The 19719-nt window shown below is 45.1% G+C and overlaps 1 protein-coding gene, 1 long non-coding RNA gene and 1 pseudogene across 3 annotated transcripts in view, besides 6 other annotated features; 1 reads left to right on the top strand and 2 right to left on the bottom strand.

Moving 5' to 3' along the window:
• The window catches only part of ANKRD19P (ankyrin repeat domain 19, pseudogene), a 28847-nt pseudogene extending 24266 nt beyond the window's left edge, over positions 1-4581 (bottom strand). Inside the window, exons 1-3 of the transcript NR_026868.1 lie at positions 4322-4581; positions 482-596; positions 145-318 (exon numbers count right to left, since the gene is read on the bottom strand). The product of NR_026868.1 is annotated as an ankyrin repeat domain 19, pseudogene (transcript). The remainder of the gene's footprint in view (positions 1-144; positions 319-481; positions 597-4321) is intronic.
• A 154-nt stretch (positions 4582-4735) lies between these two features.
• LOC124902211 (translation initiation factor IF-2-like) lies at positions 4736-6884 on the bottom strand. Its single transcript, XM_047424309.1, has one exon. It carries the CDS (start codon positions 5644-5646, stop codon positions 4894-4896), a length of 753 nt encoding a protein of 250 aa, XP_047280265.1. The 5' UTR covers positions 5647-6884; the 3' UTR covers positions 4736-4893.
• Positions 5174-5243: a silencer, noted in NCBI's record as "silent region_20034". NCBI's record gives its function as "represses an Ori minimal core promoter by ATAC-STARR-seq in GM12878 lymphoblastoid cells {active_cell/tissue: GM12878}" and the evidence as "EXISTENCE:reporter gene assay evidence [ECO:0000049][PMID:35858748]".
• Positions 5602-6492: an enhancer, noted in NCBI's record as "H3K27ac-H3K4me1 hESC enhancer chr9:95569982-95570872 (GRCh37/hg19 assembly coordinates)". NCBI's record gives its function as "activates a minimal SCP1, AML or CMV promoter by ChIP-STARR-seq in primed H9 embryonic stem cells {active_cell/tissue: H9 hESC(primed)}" and the evidence as "EXISTENCE:reporter gene assay evidence [ECO:0000049][PMID:30033119]".
• Positions 6105-8807, top strand: LOC101929748 (uncharacterized). The gene has a single exon (NR_136301.1). It is a non-coding gene; the product is annotated as an uncharacterized LOC101929748 (long non-coding RNA).
• Positions 12843-13343: an enhancer, noted in NCBI's record as "H3K27ac hESC enhancer chr9:95563131-95563631 (GRCh37/hg19 assembly coordinates)". NCBI's record gives its function as "activates a minimal SCP1, AML or CMV promoter by ChIP-STARR-seq in primed H9 embryonic stem cells {active_cell/tissue: H9 hESC(primed)}" and the evidence as "EXISTENCE:reporter gene assay evidence [ECO:0000049][PMID:30033119]".
• Positions 13509-13758: an enhancer, noted in NCBI's record as "active region_28604". NCBI's record gives its function as "activates an Ori minimal core promoter by ATAC-STARR-seq in GM12878 lymphoblastoid cells {active_cell/tissue: GM12878}" and the evidence as "EXISTENCE:reporter gene assay evidence [ECO:0000049][PMID:35858748]".
• Positions 15125-15625: an enhancer, noted in NCBI's record as "H3K4me1 hESC enhancer chr9:95560849-95561349 (GRCh37/hg19 assembly coordinates)". NCBI's record gives its function as "activates a minimal SCP1, AML or CMV promoter by ChIP-STARR-seq in naive H9 embryonic stem cells {active_cell/tissue: H9 hESC(naive)}" and the evidence as "EXISTENCE:reporter gene assay evidence [ECO:0000049][PMID:30033119]".
• Positions 15626-16126: an enhancer, noted in NCBI's record as "H3K4me1 hESC enhancer chr9:95560348-95560848 (GRCh37/hg19 assembly coordinates)". NCBI's record gives its function as "activates a minimal SCP1, AML or CMV promoter by ChIP-STARR-seq in naive H9 embryonic stem cells {active_cell/tissue: H9 hESC(naive)}" and the evidence as "EXISTENCE:reporter gene assay evidence [ECO:0000049][PMID:30033119]".

The following is a 19719-nucleotide window of genomic DNA, read 5'->3' as shown; positions in this document are numbered from 1 at the left end:
ATATTTAAGGTAAAATTTTAGACAATTAATTTATTTCAAAATATTTTTATTCGGGAACACTTGAGTTCCAAATATGAAAAACTGACTCTTACCTATGTCAATGTTAAAACAAGTATTTTGAAAAGAAAGTTGATTGATCTGTACCTCGTTTAGTGCTTCAATATTTGCATGGTGGGAAAGCAGTTTTTCTGCCAGTGAAGTCCCCTTATTATACACAGCATAATGGAGAGCAGTGTTGCTGTAGATATCCTTAATGTTTGGATTGGCGCCATGTTCCAGGAGAATAATGGCACAAGCCTCTTCCTGGCAGTGTACAGCCTATTAGTGTCAGATGAAAAAACTAGACTATAAATTCTAAGAATTCAAAATACATATTCCACAGGTTTCACCAACTAGTTATATTTAAATGAGATAAATTCATTTTAATTCTATGTATTTAAATCAAATCCATTTCATGCTGAAAAAGTTGGCTACTATATACCTTCATTAAAGGTGTCCTGTTTAGTCTATCATATATGTTGATCTGGCATCTTCTGCTCAGCAAGAGGGTGACCACTTCCACACGGCCATGGGCACAGGTCAAATGTAGAACAGTCCTAGGAGGGCGAGAGGAGTTGTCAGGAAATGGTAGTGCAGTATCTCAAAACCTACAATGGTTCATGTAATTGTAAACAGTGAATAGCAAGTTATTCCTCTGCCTTCAAAACAAATAATTTTCTTTTGAAGAAAGTACAATATTTATTAGCTCTTATTGCCCCCTACCTTAATGAAACAGCAGCCTATTTGGACAGAATGAGCTTGGTGTTTACATTCAGTTCAACTAGGGTTTGAGTTCTACTTTGAACTCGGTCAGGTACCAGCTATTGCTTAGCCTTTCTGTGCCTCAGTTTCCTCATTAATAAAATAAAGATGACAACAACAGCTAGCTCACGGGACACCACTGTGATGCTTAAATGAAAATCTATGTAAATCATTTAGAACCATCTCCAGAACAAGCAACAGCTCAATAACTGTTAAATTTTTGTTTGTTGGGACAGGGTCTTGCTCTGTTGCCCAGGCTGGAGTGCAATGGTGTTTATACTTCATTGCAGCCTGGAACTCATAGGCTCAAGCAATCCTCCTGCCCCAGCCTCCTGAGTAGCTGGGACCACAGGAGTGCACCAGCATGATCAGCTAATTTTAAAAAAATTTTTGTAGAGTAGGAATGTCACTTTGTTGCCCAGGCTGGTTTCAAACTCCTAGCATCATGGGAACTTCCCACCTCAGCTTTCCAAAGTTCTGGAATGACAGGCGTGAGCCACACACCCAGCCAGATGTTACAATTATTACTATTACTACTACTTAACAAAAACATTTTAATTAAGTAAAATGATACAATTATTGCCATTTTGCAGGATGATTTAAAGATTAGGTCACATTTTAGTATATCTGATATTGGAATGGCATTTATAATTCATAATTTTTTATAACTACAATTGGTAGCGTTTAAAAAATCATCTTATTAATATAGAAAACAGTAGGGTATCACACAATCCATGAGGCCTTACATTAAGCAAATACGGTATAGACAGCAGGTCTAGGGCAGTTCTAGGCATCTAATTGACACTTAAATACATTTTAATTCCTAAAAGTACCATGGGGAAAGAGCACTGAAATAACAACATATTTTTTAAACAAATTACTTCTTTGATTTTTAAAAATATGAAGCTAAAGGAAACTAATGATTGAGATGAACAGGTATGGCTCATTTTAGTCAACACTTAGATTTACAGAATATATGCAAATCAGACTTTCCAATTATTCATATTAGTATTTAAGACTGACAGATTTTCAAAAGGGCAGTTAAAGGTTATCTCTTACTGTTTTCTACCTTCAGAAATGCTTTTGCTTGAAAGGTGGGAGGAAAAGCTTCAAGGAGATTAAGTCCTACTATTCCCATTTTAAATCTCTCATCTTGCTCAGGCAGAACAGGTAAACAAAGTTTTTAAGTATGGAAGGGTCCTGAGAGATAGTGCAAAATGTTTGCTACATAACAGGTAAAATGTTTGCTACATAACAGGTATTCAGGTTATGTTTGATGAATAAATGGATTGATAGAATACAGTTGGGGAGCTCAATATTTTTAAATACAACTTTTATAAACCAGTATTTTTGTGATAGTAATACTATTTGCTATTTGTTATTTTTATAAGACTACAACTATAATGAAATGATTAATCTATCATTGCATATATGTAATGAATCTATACATAAGAAAAACATATATACATAATATGTACATAATAAAATCTGCAAGCACAGGTAAAAAGATTCCCTTTTTACTTCTGAAGAAGCTAAAAGTTCAAACGAGATAACAACCCTCAATAATAATGATAAAAAAAGTGAGAAATTATTTTTATCTGTACAAGATTCATATTTCTCTCTTCCCAAAAATTATTCCATTAATAATAAATTTTTACTAGAAGTTTTAGAAATGCTCACTTCAGAAATCAAAGGTAAGAAAAAAGAACAAAAGACTTGAAAATACAAATGCTCAGAAGTTACTAATTTTATGCTCTTTTGTACATAGTTTTGGCTAACACAAGACCACAGTATGTTTGTGTGTATGTGCAAACAAATTGATTTTTTTTCCTCACTGGCTATAACAATACATCCTCACACACCAACATACTTCTCCACCTATTGCCACCTTCAATGGCCACATATCCATTCTATGGGTTCTTGTTAACATAAATGCTGAGAAAAACAAAGTGCATGTATCTCTATTTTCTGAAGGTATTTTAATACAATGGAATTGGTGGGTAAAGGGCATATGCATTTTTAAAATGTGGTAATTATCTCCAAATTATCTACTTGAAAAGTCATCAGCAACTTAAACGTCAAGCAGCAGTGTAAGTACCACTGCTCTTCATTCTCACAAACACTGTGGATAGAACACAGTCTCATTCCTCTTTTAACTTAAATTCTCTTATGAGAAACACTAAGGATTTTTTCATATGTACATAAGTAACTTGTGGATCTGCAAAAAAGTACTTTGCTCACTTTTAGAGTTCTTTTCTTGTGGATTTGATTGGAAAGAATTCCCTGTAAAATAAAGATGTGCTTTTTATCTGTATATATATAACTGATATACATATAACATATTATATTAGTAATATATACAATTTGTTATATATATAATCAGTAATATATATCATATTATATATGATAAAGAATAACTTCCCTGTAGGATGAAGATACACTTTTCATCTGAATATATATTTTTATATATTAGTAAAAATATATATTGTAAATATTTTTCAAGTGTGTTACCTTTTGTTAATTTTTTTCTGATACACAGGGGATTTTAATTTTTAGTTTGCTAAATCAACTTTCAGAATGCCTGCTTGCGAGGTCATTCTTAGGAAGGCCTTTATTAACATAAAATGTACCTGTATATATAAGTCTTTGTATTTTCTTCTGGTACTTTTCTCATTTTGCATATGTAAAAATTTCAGTCTAAATTCCATCAGGAACTCATTTTTGCGACATAAAATTCCATTAGTTTTCTTCACACAGCAGGCATGTTATTAATAACTCATCCTTTCCTACTCATCTGAAATGTTACCATTATCAATCCCTATGTATATATCTTACATATATTTCAGTGTTTTTGGATTTCCTATTCTGTTGCATTTATTTATCTGTGTTTTCAGCTGTTAGTAAATAATTAATTGTGAGAATTAATAGCACATTTTGATATCTAGAGGAGCAAGTCTTTTTTCACTCCATTATGAACATTTTTAAATATCATCACAATAGTAAGATAGACAGTGTCATGCAAAAATGATAAAACCTTGATATTTTTATTTGGTTTATGTAAATCTGATAAACATAGAGCTCACATTTTGAGAAAAATGAGTCTTCTCATTCAAGGAACCCACGTCCCATTTCCAAGTGTCCCTCTAAGAAGCCCCAGTAAAGAACCTATCTACCTAGGTGGATTCGGATTTAAAACTGACACAGGGTTTAATTTGAGAACTCTTCGCCTACTGAAAATGGCTCATGGTATTTTTGACATGGGAATGAGTTCTCATTAGGCACCTCCCTATCATGTATATGGCCCCATGTTTTAAACGTGTATATGCTTAACTTTGTGAGTTAAATCAAATTATCCACCAAGTGCTACAGACGGGGAATTGCCAGCGATGGAAAGCAGTCTGAGGCTCCATTTGGCTCCGCGGCTCCGAGGGTGCCCGGGGCCCTCCAAGGCCCCCGCCCCAGGGGCTGCAGGGAAGCCGGGCCTGGGGCCCCCTCCCACCGCAGGCTGAGCCCCCGATACCTGTCTTTTCTGTCGCGGGCGTCCAAGTCCCGGAACCTGCGCGTCAGGCAGTGCTCCACCTCCGCGGCGTCGCCCTTGATGGCAGCCCTGTGGATCTTCCGCAGTTCCCAGTCCCGGATGTGGTACCCCCGACCAGCGTACTCTTGGTCCATGGAGTCCAGGAGCGCCTGGCCCAGGCGTCTCCCGAAGCTGAAGAGCTTCCTCATGGTGGCGACTTTTCAGACGCCCACCACCCGCTCCTGAGCCGCCGCGGCTCCTCGTGGCCTTTCCACCCCCACCCAGCCCCAAATCCGCCATCCCCCCCACAACCCGCGATCCACCCCCAAATCCAAGATCCACCCCCAAACCCGCGATCCACCCCCAAATCCAAGATCCACCACCAAACCCGCGATGTAGCTCAGAATCCGCGATCCAGCCTGGTCCACCACAGCCTTCAGCAGCGACACTCGCAGCCTCCGACCTCTCAGACCGAGTGAGCTCCACGAAGCCGTTAAGCGCGTGCCTGTAGCTGAACGCTCCGATCTCTCAGACAGCGTGGGCCCCGGCTAAGCCTTTAGGCTCGCGCCTGCAGCTCAGCGCCAGCTCGGACTCCGGAAACCGCTCCCGAGCCCGCGTGGCCTGCAGGGGGCTGCTGCAGCTCGGGCGCAGGCGCTGCTGGCTTGCGGGTTCTCCTGGGCTCGCGCGGGACGTCTCGGAATCGCAGACGTGCATCCCTTCCGGCCTGAGGGCCCTCCTGGCCGTGACTCCCGCCCCGCTCCTCCTCCAAAGAGAGATCGGGGCCGCTGACAGGGGCCCTCCGTAGCCATGGGGGATGGGACTGGGGGGTCGGTTCCAGCCACGGTGCAGCCGCCGCCGGGCAGACCGCCGGGCTTGGCCGCAGCCACGGCGACATCTAGCCCCGGTTCTGCGAGGCTTGGGAGCGCCAGCCAGCTTGGGAGTGGCCAGGCAGCTGTTGCCAGCAGGTAGAGGGCGCCTGCAGCTTGGGCGCCCAGGTGGTGGAGAATGGCCTGGGCTGCCTCTAGATCGCGAGTGCACCTGGCCTGAGAGCCCGCCAGGCCCTGCCCCCGCCCAGCTCCTCCTCTGCTGGAGCTGGGGACCTCTAGCCAGTGGCCCTCTGCAGCCACCGGGGTTGGGTCTGAGGGCCGGTTCCTGCCCCTGTGCAGCCGCCGCAGGGCAGACCGCCTGGCTTGGCCGCAGCTACAGGGACCTCTAGCCCCGGTTTTGAGATGCGGGGAGTGCGGGCGGGCTCGGGGATTGCCTGGAGGCTGCTGTCTGCGCACAGAAGGCGGCTGCAGCTTGGGTGCCCAGGCGGACTGGAGGTGCATGACCTGGTCGGCCTCGGGATCGCCAGCGCGCCCAGCCTGAGGCCCCCAGGCCGTGTCTCCCCCCACTCCTCCACCGGAGGGAGATCGGGGCCGCTGGCATAGGCATTTGGCAGTCACCCCGGATGGGGTTGAGCAGGGGTTCTCAGTTCTCGTCCCTGTGCAGCCGCCGCGGGGCAGAATGCCTGGCGTGGCCGCAGCCACTGGGACACCACGCGGGCCGGGCAGGCCAGGGGGTGAAAGCGCTGGGAGACGGGTGCCTTCTCGCCCTGAGGCGCCTCTGAGCCCCACGGCTTGTCGGCCTCCGGCGCGCAGGGCTCCCCAGCATCCTGGGCGCCGGCCCGCTGCCCGCACGAAGTCAACTCAGAGAGGATGAACTTCGGTTGCCTTGTCTGGCTGGGCTGCCAGGCGGGGCAGCTGACCTGTTGATCGGGTGGCTTTTTTCATCTTCTTGCTCACAGGACAGCGCGCTGGGAAGCCAGGGGCCGCGGGGACCTGGGGCTGGAAACCACATCTGCCCACAGCCACAGTCTCCTGCACCTGTCATCCTGGCGGCGCCCTGGCGTCGGAGAAGCAGCAGACGCGGAGCTCCTGCAGCTGGCACCGCTGCAGCAACCGGTCCCGGTGCAGGCGTCAGTGGAAGGCGGCCTCCTCGCGCGGCTCCCGTGGCCTCAGGACCAGGGGTGCGGCCAGCACCGCCCTCACGCCCCGCACCTCGTCTACATTGTCCTCCCTGGAGGCGGCTGGACCTGAGTAAGGCTCACAGCGATCGGCCCCCGCAAGGACTGGCATGCAGGGCTCAGGATCCCGCACTCTGGCCCTGCGGCACCGCACCTTTCAGCAGCAGCTGGAACTCCTGCAGCAGCGCCTTGGGTGGGATGCTGGGGCCCGGGGTTCCTGGCAGGCCGAACTTCAGCTTCTTGTCTTGGCCCCTGATCCTCTTCCTGTTGTTGAACCTTTGTCACTCTGCAACGAAAAGCATCCAGGCGTCCTTGATTTCGGCACTGCGTGCACGCTCAGCCGAGCTCATCGGACGGGCGGTTCTCCCCAGGCCCGCTGGCAGCTTGTTCCCTGGGGGCGGCTCCTGGACGCAGCTCTTTGCAGGCCCACCAGGCTCAGGGGAGCCAAGGCCCGCCGCGGCCAACAGGCCTGTGGAGAGTAAGAGTAAGGTGGGCTCTGCAGGGCAGCGGCCCGGAACCATGAGAGAAGCGCGTCAGTCTGGGCTCCAAGCGCAGCCTCTCGGGATTCTCCGGGACCCACGGCTTATAATGCGCTTAAATCCCACGCCTCGCACGAGAGACAGCAAGTCACCGTCACCGCCTACCGCCCCTGACCCGCTCCCACTCTCGCTGCAGCGGAGGGTGTGTGGGAGAGAGAGGGACGCAGGGAGGGAAAAGCGCGGGGAGGGCGAACATCTTTTCATAAGCTTTCCGCCTTCTATATGCCATCTCTGATGGGAGCCTCTTTAGATCTTTTGTCCATTTACTAATTGGGTGGCTTGAATTCTTATTGTTGAGTTGTAAGTGGTTTTTAATGGTCTGGATGCAAGACAGGTGTTTTACAAATATTTTCTTCCTGTCTGTGGCTTGTTTCTTCATTCTCTTAATATTTCCTTTCCCAGAGCAAAAGTTTTTAATTGTAACGAAGTCACAGATGTGACTCACAGATGTGAGCCACCGCACCCAGCCAAAATTGATACATTTAAAATATACTATTTTTAATATAAATGGAAGATGGAGAATCACTATGAGTATTTCATTAATATTTTGTGGGAAGCCTAATAAAAATAAAATTTCCTGTGAGTATACCTCACCCCTCCAAATGTTGAGGCACTTCTCCAAGGAACAGTTCTTTGGCTGATTTTTGGTGTTTTATCTTCCACCAGTAGTAAAATGAATGACATGACTTATGGCCCAAGGCTTTACTCAGAAGCTTGGTGCCTGTTACCAGCGCTGCTGGGAGCTCCTGAGGTAGACACAAAGGCCAGGTGTCAGGGAGACTACCCAAGAGCAAAGAGCCGGAGAGGGGAGGCAGGTGCTGTTGGACAAAATTGCCATCACTAGGCAGGTGCTGTGAATACAACATAGATCTGAGTCAGATTCCATATGCAGGGTCCGGGGTGAGTGCCTCGGATCACTGTCTGGCTGGAATTCTCCAGAAACCTGGTTTATACAGTGTAATTGAAACTTGAAGCAGCATCTGATGCACTTGGGGCAAGGCCGATTAGAACTAGGTGATTGGAACACGGTCTGGCTAGGAAGGAAGGGACCATGCGCATCAGGGCAGAAACCGCAGGCGGGCAGATGGCCATTACAGCCCAGCGGGCTGCCCATTACTCTCCTCCAGGCCCAGGAGACTAAACACACTTGAGTCGCAACTGCCTCTGGACGTGGGAACTGTGGTCTTGTTTCCAGTCACCTATCTCAGCAAGAAGGAGCTTCCGTTGTGCTTGCAGACTTGACCCTACTAGTCTGGGCTGGGGAGTTCTGTGTCTGCCCATGGCTGGTCATTATTGTCTACAAAACCTACTGTGTGATCTGTAAGAATTTTTATGACTAGCTAGCTCAAGGGCATGATGACATGCCTATGCTATTGCTGAGGGAATATCTCTGTTTTCAGGTGAAGGTTTTTTCTAATTTTATGTTCAGAATTACATACAAGAGGCACAGTGGAGGTATATAAATGAAGATGAATCCACCAGCATTCTTTCAAAATACTGAACCACACTTTCTGGTAGACATTGGGGTGGAGTGGCTGCAAGCAGAGTGTCTGGGTTGGAATTCTCATTCCACAGCTTCATGCTATGCGATAGTGAGTAACTTACTTTTCCTCTCTGTGTCACAGTTTCCTAGTCTCTAAAAACAGATAATAGTGACCTACCTTATAGACTGTTATGAAGATTAAATTAATTTATATATGTAAATAAGACTTGGAACATAGATTTTCTGTAAATGTTAGCCATTGTTATTGCTCCTATTGACCTGAAGTATAAAAACAGAAATGTGACCCTGGTCCTTGACCTTGGGTGGCATCACCAGATAAGCAATAGTTTAGGGAAAAATGTTTGTACTGGGTATTTTCATTATTCAAAATATTATTAATAATGTGCTATTAAGATAATGTTACAAAATAAAAATATTAAAAAAGAAGCCTATGGTACAGAATCAGAAAGTCTTATTGTGCATGTGTGTATTTTGACTTTCTATAATTCCTCCGTCAATCATAAGCTTTGCAGATTTCAGTTACTTGGGTCAACTTGCCAGTAATAACTGCTTTGGTCTCCCCGTCTCTAATGCACCTCATGATCTATTTGCTGTCCTGCTGCTACGGTAACCTTGCTACAGTTCTCTTACCTGATGATCTTCCTTTCCCAGCAAAACATTTCACACTTTCCCTCACAACACATCTACACACACACACACACACACACCATAAACAGCCCCCATACACTCACACACCACACACCAAAAACTCACACATTCCACACACATCACACACATGAACGCCCCAGTACACACATATTCATACCACAAATACCACACCCACACCACACACGCATCACACCCACAACCTACACTAACATACATACCACACACGCCACACATTCCACACACACACTATGAACACCCCAATACGTGCACACTCATACCACATGCATACCACACACATCACACAAACTCACACACTGTAAACACTCACTTCCTACATCCATGCACACCACATGCATCACACACACACCACAAACACTCCCGCATACATTCACACTCACGTATCACACAATACCATGCACTGACACATTCCACACACACACCATAGACACCCCAATAGACACATACTCATACCATACATACCACACATACCACCCCCACACACACCACATGCACATCACACATACTCTCACAAATACAACACTCACCACCTCCACTCACACACATACCACATACACACAAACCATACACACCACATGCATAAAACACACACCAAAAACACTCCCCATAAACTCACACTCACATACCACACATAGAACACACACACATTCCACACACACACCGTGAACACACACTCATCACACACACCACACACATCACACAAACTCTCAAACACACACCACTCACACACACACGCCACATACACAGACACCACACACACCACCGCCATGCCTCATACACTTACACTCACATACCACAAACACACCACACATAACTTCCACACACACACACCACACATCCTCATACCACACTCATCTCATGTACCACTCACATACACCACACACACATCACACACTTACACCACACATGGCACTCACCATCTACTCACATACATTTCACACACACACACCACAAACATCCCCCATACACCCACATACCACACACACATCATACACTCCACACACACACCATGGATACCCCATATATACACTGATACCACACTCACACACCAAGCCCACTACACTCCATATATACTCACATATGCCACATAAACACAAACCACCCATATCCACACTCACATCACACACACCACAGTCTCTCACACACTCTCACACACACACATAAACTCATGCTCACACACACCCACACCCACATTCACATCACACACACCACAGTCTCTCACACACTCACACACACACAAATTCAAACTCTCACAAACACACACCCACATCCACACTCACACACACACTCCTTGAAATGCTTCTCTTCACTCACTGATCCCCTCCTGACCCTAATCCACACCCACCGGGCTCCCCGGGCTTTCTTCCACCAGGACCTCCATAGCCCCTCCCTCCAGGGGCTTCTCTCCACTCTGGGCTCCCTATGGAGCCTCTGTTCCTTCTGCAGCTCTCGCTCTCCACCTCCCCATGCATTTGCCTCACTGATTGCGCTGGACCATGTTGGTGGTTTTTCCAGTGTGTCCCCCATGATAGGTCTCCTCACATACACCGAAGGCACCTTTTGACAAGCCCAGATCCTGGCACCGGCAGTTCCTTGGGCATTGTACATCCCTGCACGTAGGACCGCATCTGGCACACAGTGTGCGCTCAGCTATAATTTCAGAGCATGAATGCTCACAGGTATTAGGATCAACGTTCAGAAGGTGCTTTCCTTTTTACTGAACCTGTGGCCTACTTGATTTACCTGATAGCTTGTAATTCAGTTCATAAAATTTCTGTTAAAATATTAATACACCAGGTGAATCTCAATATCATTGCTGCAAATTATGTTTTCATTAAGATGGACAAAGATGGACAAAGATGGCCGGACGCGGTGGCTCACGACTGTAATCCCAGCACTTTGGGAGGCTGAAGCGGGCGGATCACGAGGTCCGGAGATCGAAACCATCCTGGCGAAGATGGTTGAACCCCGTCTCTACTAAAAATACAAAAAATTAGCCGGCGCTGTGGCGGGCGCCTGTAGTCTCAGCTACTCGGGAGGCTGAGGCAGGAGAATGGCGTGAACCCGGGAGGCGGAGCTTGCAGTGAGCCGAGATCGCGCCACTGCACTCCAGCCTGGGCGACAGAGCGAGACTCCGTCTCAAAACAAAAAAAAATAAATAAAAATAAAATAAATCCTTAACTGCACCGAGTCAAGGTATGTGAACAGATGGATGCCAGATCCTTGCTATTGATTATTCTCAAAAATAAAAATAAAAATAAAAATAAATCATTAACTGCACCGAATCAAGGTATGTAAACAGATGGATGCCAGATCCTTGCTATTGATTAATCAGAGAATTCACTCCTATCGGAGGGAAAGGGATAGCCAGGATTACACTAGGGAAGCGTCCACATGGAAAACAGGAGGACAGGGAAAGAAAGTTTGCTCTAACATCTTCTGAGTTCTTCAAAGTGCTTTTCGTCTGTGATTTCGTTTACTCCTCTTACTAAGAGGAGTAAATATTTAACATGAGCAGGAAGTCTGAGACCCAGGGCTAGGAGGATTATTTAGCATCACATACAGAATAGGGCTCAATAGATTCATGTGTATGTAAGAACAACAATGATATCTCATGGGGAACCAATGGAAAAGGTAAAGTAACTTGCACCTATTTATGGAAAGCTCACATTAACACTCAAATGCTAATTAGAGAAAAATGTGACCAAAATGTTAACCCAAATCTGTTGAAATGAAAAATAATATGTGTTACTACCTTTCATTCCATATTATTAGTAAATCCATGTGATTTATTTTTGGTAGGAAAGTATTTTAAATGTCATTTTATATATAAGATAATTTCCAGACTCCAAATACTTACTAAATTCCATGCTCACTAATGCATTTTCTAATAAGCATTCTTAATTCATTAGGATGGAATAATTGCTTTTTCTTAGATTTTAACTGACATAGAGGACAGAAACCACTGGAACAAAACTAATGGAATTTTTTTCTCCAGATCCAGTTTACCACATCTGTACCTCTGTCTTGGACTTGGAGAAATAATCAGAACAGGCTGTTTTCCTACCTCATGGAAACTCCTTTAAGCTGCAGGCTTGGCTATGGGTAGGCAAAAACATAAAGTGTTATGATGGACATTGGAGACTCAGAAGCAGGAACGGTGGGAGAGGGATGTGGGATTAAAAAAACTACATATTGGGTACAATTAACACTACTTGGGTGACTCGTGCACTAAAATCTTAGACTTCACCACTATACCATTCATCCATGTAGCCAAAACCCACTTGTACTCCATAAAGCTACTGAAATAATAATAATTTTAAAAAGATGCACACTTGGGAACAGGACAATGATGAAATTCCCCCTCTACCCCCATAACACCACGACATACATTTTGATCATTTCTTTAAAAAGCATTTTAAACAATAATTAAGTTCTGCTGGGTTGATCTACTAAATAAGGCATCAGTAACAAAAAAATTCACATATAGCTGGAAAGTTTGCTCTGAACCCAATCACTCCAAATTCACAAAATGTTGGCTTTTGGCAGTAAAGCATTGGAGAAGTGTGAAGGCATTTATATAGGCAAGATTTTGTGGATCTTTATCAGGCAATTAGCCTGTATGGGCCTAATTGGGTTCTTAATGGGTTCTTATTTCCAAAGAAAAGTTTAATTTCCAGGTGCATTTCTTGACCTATAACTACCTTTTTATAAATAAAATTATCTCACTATTATGGGATGAATTGTGTCCTACCCCAAAATTCATTTGTTGAAACCCTTACCTGCAGTACCCTAGACTATGACTGTATTTGGTGATAAGGTCTTTCAAGGGGTAATTAAGTTAAAATGAGGTCATGTGGTGAGCCTTAATCCAATTGGACTGGTGTCCTACTAAGAAAAGATTAGGATACAGACATGCTGAGAGGGAAGCTGGTGTGAAGACACAGGGGGAAGATGGCACCTGCCAGCCAAGGAGAGGCCTCAGGAGAAACCATCCTTGCTGACATCATGGTCTCAGACTTCTGGCCTCCAGAATCATGTGAGAATAAATTCCTGATGTTTAGGTCACTCTGTGGTACTTTGTTAAGGTGGCCCAACAGACAAACACAGCTACTTTAATAAAGAAGATTTTCCACTGTGCCTTTGTCACTGGAGTGTGAATAAACAAGAGGACCCACAAATCACTGTCGAACTACTTCTCCAGCCTAGTGCCCTGGGCCTGTGCATGAAGGAGCACCTAAGCAGCCTCAGAAAGTGTGTTTCTCAGCCAGGCGCGGTGGCTCAACGCCTGTAATCCTAGCACTTTGGGAAGCTGAGGTTGGGGGATCACCAGGTCAGGAGATCGAAACCATCCTGGCCAACATGGTGAAACCCCGTCTCTACTAAAATACAAAAAATCAGCCAGGCGTAGTGGCGTGCACCTGCAATCCCAGCCACTTGGGAGGCTGAGGTAGGAGAATCACTTGAACCTGGGAGGTGGAGTTTGCAGTGAGCCAAGATCGCGCCACTGTACTCCAGCCTGGGCGACAGAGTGAGACTCTGTCACAAAAAATAAAGAAAAAAAAAAGAAAAAAGAAAAAAAAGAAAGTGCTTTTCTCTTTCAGGTGTATCACACATGGATTCAGTTCCTCAACACTTGTTAAGCTGCCACAGGGCTTTGCCTGGGCATGTCCCTGCCTGCTCCTGTCTTCTGCCCTTCTGAGTCCCCCTGCTCTCCTTTGGTTATGCAGCTTTGAAATTACTCCGAACATTTACATAGTTTGCTACCTGAATGATACATTTGTGAAGGTTGATCATACAAATTGGGTTATTCTTTTTTTGTTTGTTTGTTTGTTTGTTTCTAGATGCTCTGAGACCAGTTACTAGCTTTCTCCTTTTTTAATTTTACTTTAAGTTCTGGGATAAATGTGCAGAACATGCAGGTTTGTTACATGTGCCATGGTGGTTTGCTGCACCTATCAACCCATCATCTAGGTTTTAAGCCCCGTATACATTAAGTATTTGTCCTAATGCTCCCCCTTCCCTTGCCCCCCACCACCTGACAGGCCCCAGTGTGTGACGTTCCCCTCCCTGTGTCCATGTGTTCTCATTGTTCAACTCCCACTTATGGGTGAGAACATGTGGTGTTTGGTTTTCTCTTCCTGTGTTAGTTTGCTGAGAATGATGGTTTCCAGCTACATCCATGTCCCTGCAAAGGACATGAACCCATTTTTTTATGGCTGCATAGTATTTCATGGTGCATATGTGCCACATTTTCTTTATCCAGTCTATCATTGGTGGGCATTTGGGTTGGTCCCAAGTCTTTGCTATCATACATAGTGCTGCAAAAATGTACATATTCATGTCATTCTTATCACATCCAACTAAAACAGAGTTGAGAAGCCAGAGGATAAAGCACTCATGGTACAAAACATTGCTCCAAAAATGTAATTCTCTGCAAGCCTGACTGCTGGAACTGCTTGTTGCCACCTGAGACCAGTTTTATCCTTAGCTTCTGAGATAACTTGCTACAACTCTGTGACTAATTTTTCCCACCACCTTTGCTCATCATTCAGAGCTTGCCAGCTCCCCAAACCCTTCCTAGTGCCAATGAACTTACTCAAAGAGGAATACATAACATTTCTCCTTGTTATAAAACCTCTAATCTTCTCTTTGTTCTTCAAAGAGAGCACTTTCGGTTCTTACCAGAGATGATCTCTCCCTGGTTTGCAAACTGATATTGCCAATAAAACTCTGTTTTCTACTCTCTAGCCATTCTGGTGGTCCTTTGGATAACATATGCCTTGCTGCAGTAAGGACTGGAAGTGTATTTCCCCCTCCCATGGAGAACAAGACCTCATACATGAGAACTTGGAGCTACTCCTCCTCTCATCGGGAATGTGACATCACAGCTTATCAGACCCCGTATGGGTTACTGAGCTCGACTACTGGACTCCCAAGTCCAATAAACCTAAGAGTTTGACAGACATTTTAAGAGCTTAGGTCATGGCAGGGTTTACTCTGTCAGCCATTCTCCGATGACCAGGAGCTTGTGCTGTGAGAGGGCTGCACTGTCCACCACTTCTCCCCAACTTCCCTCTAGTATCCAGGGACCACCCCGGCCTTCTCCAGTCTCCACTGTGATGGCCAAGCCAGTTTCCCTCAAGAACTGCTAATATAAAGGAACACCTCAAGCTTTAATTAGAAGTTACTTCCCACAGAGACTTTCATCCTAACGGAGCAACTAGACTTTAATAATTGAGGACCTCACTGATCTGTGGTCAGTGTGCCTCATCTCTCAAGTGGATTCCCTGGGAGATTTGTTCACCATGTTATCTTCTTTAAGCGTTCTGAACCTAAGAAAAAAATTCTCTTTGCATGGGGATGAACCACAGATCCATGAAATCATATTTCGATCATCTCTTTGTTTTAACCATGCAAAAACACCTTTGCGGTTCCTTCCCCTACTGGCTTGAGCCTTGGCTTTTTTCTGTTTTTCAACAAGTGGAGGCTCAGAAGTCCCCGAGCAGGAAGGTGCCCATAGCCCGCCGCATGCCCAGCCTCACTGTGCTCTGCCCCAGGGCTGCACCTCCTCTGCTTCGCCCAGCACCTGGAATGTCCCTCCTTCTGAACAACGCCAAGGCTGTGTCTGTGCAGCTGCCCCGCCCGCTGCCCCTAAGGGCTCCTATAAGGCCTGTGCATCCCTCTGCCCTGGCGCTGGGGCACCGCCTTGCGTCAAACCCCATATTGTCTTCTCTCCCTCTAGAGAGTTAGCTTTCAGGGAGGACAGAAAGATGGAAAGGTAAAAATATTGCTGTTTGCTGTAAATAGTACATTGTGAAGGAACAAAAACATGCCTTACAAAAAACACAATTGTACCAAAACAGAGACAAAAGGTGGGCTGGATTGTTTCCCAAGGATCCTTTCATTTTTAATGTTCATTGTTTCACTCTTAGATGCACTGCTAGTTATATCACAGTTCAACATGCACTTTATAAAGCTGGTTTTTTTGTCATTGAACATGTTTTGAAAAATGTACAATGATCACAGACACCCTTTTGCTGGAGGCTCTCTCTAGGGTCTTATTCCATGTTTCTTTGTAGATAATGATAGTACAGTATGTTTATTTCTCATGGGTTGTGAGGAGACTAAATGATTAAATATATGTAAGTGCCTGGGACAAAATTTGGCACCTGCATGCCCTAAATAAAAGCTTATTAACTAAATACATGGATTTGGAATTATTGGCTCCATTCTATGTAATTATTCCTGACCCAGAATGTCTTAAGAAATATAGTCCCTGGACCTACCTCTGGCAACCACTGCCGCTCATCACTCATCCCTTTTGTCTGCCTCATTTTAGTTACTAATGGGTGCACCTGGGTTTGGGGATCAGGGAAGACAGTGGACATGGACTCGTACCAATACCTGGACTCTTCACACACCAAATCCTGGGGGCCAGGCACTGTTGTAGGTGCCAGATATTTAATTCACATCACAGATGTGCCATGTAAGTACAACTATTTCCCCTATTTTATGACAAGGAAATTCAGACCCAGGCAGCTTAAATAACTTTCCTAAGTTATTCCCCTACCACTGCCACCCACCCCCAACGAACCCCAGCTCAAGCCTAGGCTGTCAGGGTTTGTGTTATTAACTGTGTGCTTGAATCCAAGAAGCCCAGGGGTCCTGCCTGTGTCAACAGCCTGGGAGCACAGCGACATGAGCTCAGAACCAGGAATCATCATCAAGTCTGTGTTCCTTTTTCCCAGGCATCTGACACATGGTCAGTTGGGCCAGAGACAGGAGAGGAACTTCTAGAGTTACTTAGCAGAACGGAGGCTGGAGACAGGTTGGCCCTGACATCACAGGGGCTGTTCTCTTTCCTACTGGTGTCTCCCTCCTGGGAAAATTGTGGGTGACAGTCATGGTGACAGTACCTGGGATCTTAGTCAAGCGTCCTATATGGAGTTCTGAGTCTCCTTTGACAGAGTGTCCCGGCATCCTTCATCTGTGATCATGGTGACAGAGTCCCACTCTTTTGTCTCACGGATACTGCTCCTGTGCAGAGGGCGTCACAAAGCTCACTCTGTTGTACATACAGCTGGATGATAGAGAATTTCATTAGTTTGTTTCTAAAGAAATACTAGAAAACAGATTGAATTAGAAAAAATTGGAAGTGGAAAGAGGATTTTTCTAGAGTTGACATTTTTACAAGAATCTAAGCATTGGTATCTAGGGGGGAGAAAGCCCAGAGTAATAACTTACTTAACTGTTGCAAATTGGAATAATGCTAATTAGATTTCATGTGTTGCTCATGATGTTTATTGCTGAAACGTCCATTACCCTGCTGATTCTGGCAGTGAAATAAACATTAGAATTTTTCAACAGCTGTAGTGTAAAATTTTAGAAATTGGACTATGAGTAGCACAATTGGGGTTTACTGTTTTGGATTACCAAAGTGTTTAGCCTTTGCCATTCAGGGTGATTGTGTGGAAGCAGAGGCTGTGTGGGTGGAAGTCACGGCAGACGCTTCCCTGTGGGGCTGGAACCTGGAGGCTGCTCTGCAGGGGGCTGTGAGCATCCCTCCTCGTGAAGCCATGGGTGGCTATTAGGTAATGCAGCAGTTGCAAATAAGAGCCAGGGTGTCCTGGTGACTGCTGCACCTTGCCCCTAGTAGGAAATGCTGCTGCCTCTGAGCAGGGCTCAGGGGCTGTGAGCAGTGATTGGCAGCGGCAGGGCTGTGCAGCCTGAGCTCCTGATTCCTCGGACCCACGTGCACACCTGGAGAATGGCGTGCGCTTCACCTCCTGAGCACCAAGGCCCCTCCTTCGTAAGGATTTACCCCATTCATGTGAGCCCCAGGAAGAGTGATGCATTTTCAGATGTTTTTAGAGAGAGGGCTCGTGGAGCACTAATCAGAGCTGTCTATGTTTGAGGATGTTGTTATGGATACATTCATTTTTCAGGATGAAAGTCCACGCTTTCCTCACACAGCAGTCCCTGATGGTTCTCCCTCTGTTCAGGGCCTTCATTACCATGTCTGGCACGACCCTGATGCAAATGAAACATTTCCAAGAACAAGGAGCTATAACAGGAACTCAAATGTTGCATTTATAATGATTCCCACTTCGGCTTTTTGACTTTAGAGTGCAAAGAAAAATGTGCAATTTCTTATTTGGGCAAAAACAAAATAAAATAAACAATGAATGCAAATTCCAAATCAGAGTCTGTTACTGTGAAGTATAGGGCTCTTAAAGGAAACAATCTAACTCTAAAAATGGAACAAACCAGAGCAGCTGCCCTGAAGAATCAAGGTGGTTTCCACCCAAGCTCCACCTGACGCTTGTGAATGGAGAAACCAACGACACCCGTGAGCACAGACCTGCTCTCAGGGAGGGATTTTACCTTCATCTGCACAAAGCACACTGCGTAGATCCATGGGGGCTCATTGGCACTAAATAGAAAAATAGATCCCTTCTGCCTCGTTCCAGTTCACACCCATGTAGCCACAGAGCTGGCAAGAAGAATAAAAGAAAGTTTTAATCTATCCCATTCTCAGTCTCACTGCATTGACATTTATTAACCAACTCCATTACTAAGTATACACTCCAACATTTGCAAAATGCTGACTACATTATGTGCTCTACAGTGCCAGAAGTTAGTTCATTAAAATCTGAATTTAAATTCTATGTCCATTTAGAAACTATTTGTATTATATTCTTCTGTAATTGGTTAATACTTATGAGTCTAAACGCAGGAATATGGATTTTTCAATGAACTTTAAATAACCTTATTGATTAAAGTCAAAGTAATGTTTGCTTAGAAATTACAGGATTAGATTTCATTATTATTTAATTTACTTATTTTTAACTCCTGGCTTGTCAGGAAGATGGCAAAAGTTGATGTGTTCCCTTTTTCCTATACTATGCTATGAAACATGGAATGTGTCATTCTTATCTTACTAAAAATGCAGTGTTGCATCACACTGCAGTATGGTCATGGCACAATTTAGCTTCATCACAGAATAAATCAGTCATAATTTAAGTGCCATTTGCTATGCCTTTCCAATAGAATCCGCCGGTGTTCACATGGCAGATATTATTATGACCAGGCATCATTACAACTGGCCATGACAGGCCAGGCGTGGTGGCTCACGCCTGCAATCCCAGCACTTTGGGAGGCCAAGGTGGGCGGATCATGAGGTCAGGAGTTCAAGACCAGCCTGGCCAATATGGTGAAACCCCATCTGTACTAAAAAATACAAAAATTAGCCGGGCATGGTGGTGAGCGCCTGTAGTCCCAGCTACTCGGGAGGCTAAGGCAGAAGAATCTCTTGGACCTGGGAGGTGGAGGCTGCAGTGAGCGGAGATCATGCCACTGCACTCCAGCCTGGGAGACAGGGCAAGACTCCATCTCAAAAAAAAAAAAAAAACGATTGACCATGACTCGGTAATTCCTGGGCTTCAAAGTCAGTCGCCTTGTCTTAGTTCACAGGCTTGTATTGCAGGACTGGCTTCTGTTATATAGCAGGGCTCACATACTCTCTCCTACAGGGATGTAGGTGGTATTCAGACTAGTTCCTTTTCCTGCTGATTATACTACAGGATGTGGGTTATCCAGAGCAGAGTGCATTGGTCGAAGTTGCAAGAGCTCTCAGAGAGCTTCCATAGGTTTGGAGACCCATACGATTCCCACAGGTGGGCCC

This window comes from Homo sapiens, chromosome 9 (genome assembly GCF_000001405.40).
Source record: "Homo sapiens chromosome 9, GRCh38.p14 Primary Assembly".
NCBI lineage: Eukaryota > Metazoa > Chordata > Mammalia > Primates > Hominidae > Homo > Homo sapiens.
The sequence above is the reverse complement of the archived record's forward strand: the minus strand, read 5'-3'. Positions and strand labels throughout refer to the sequence as shown.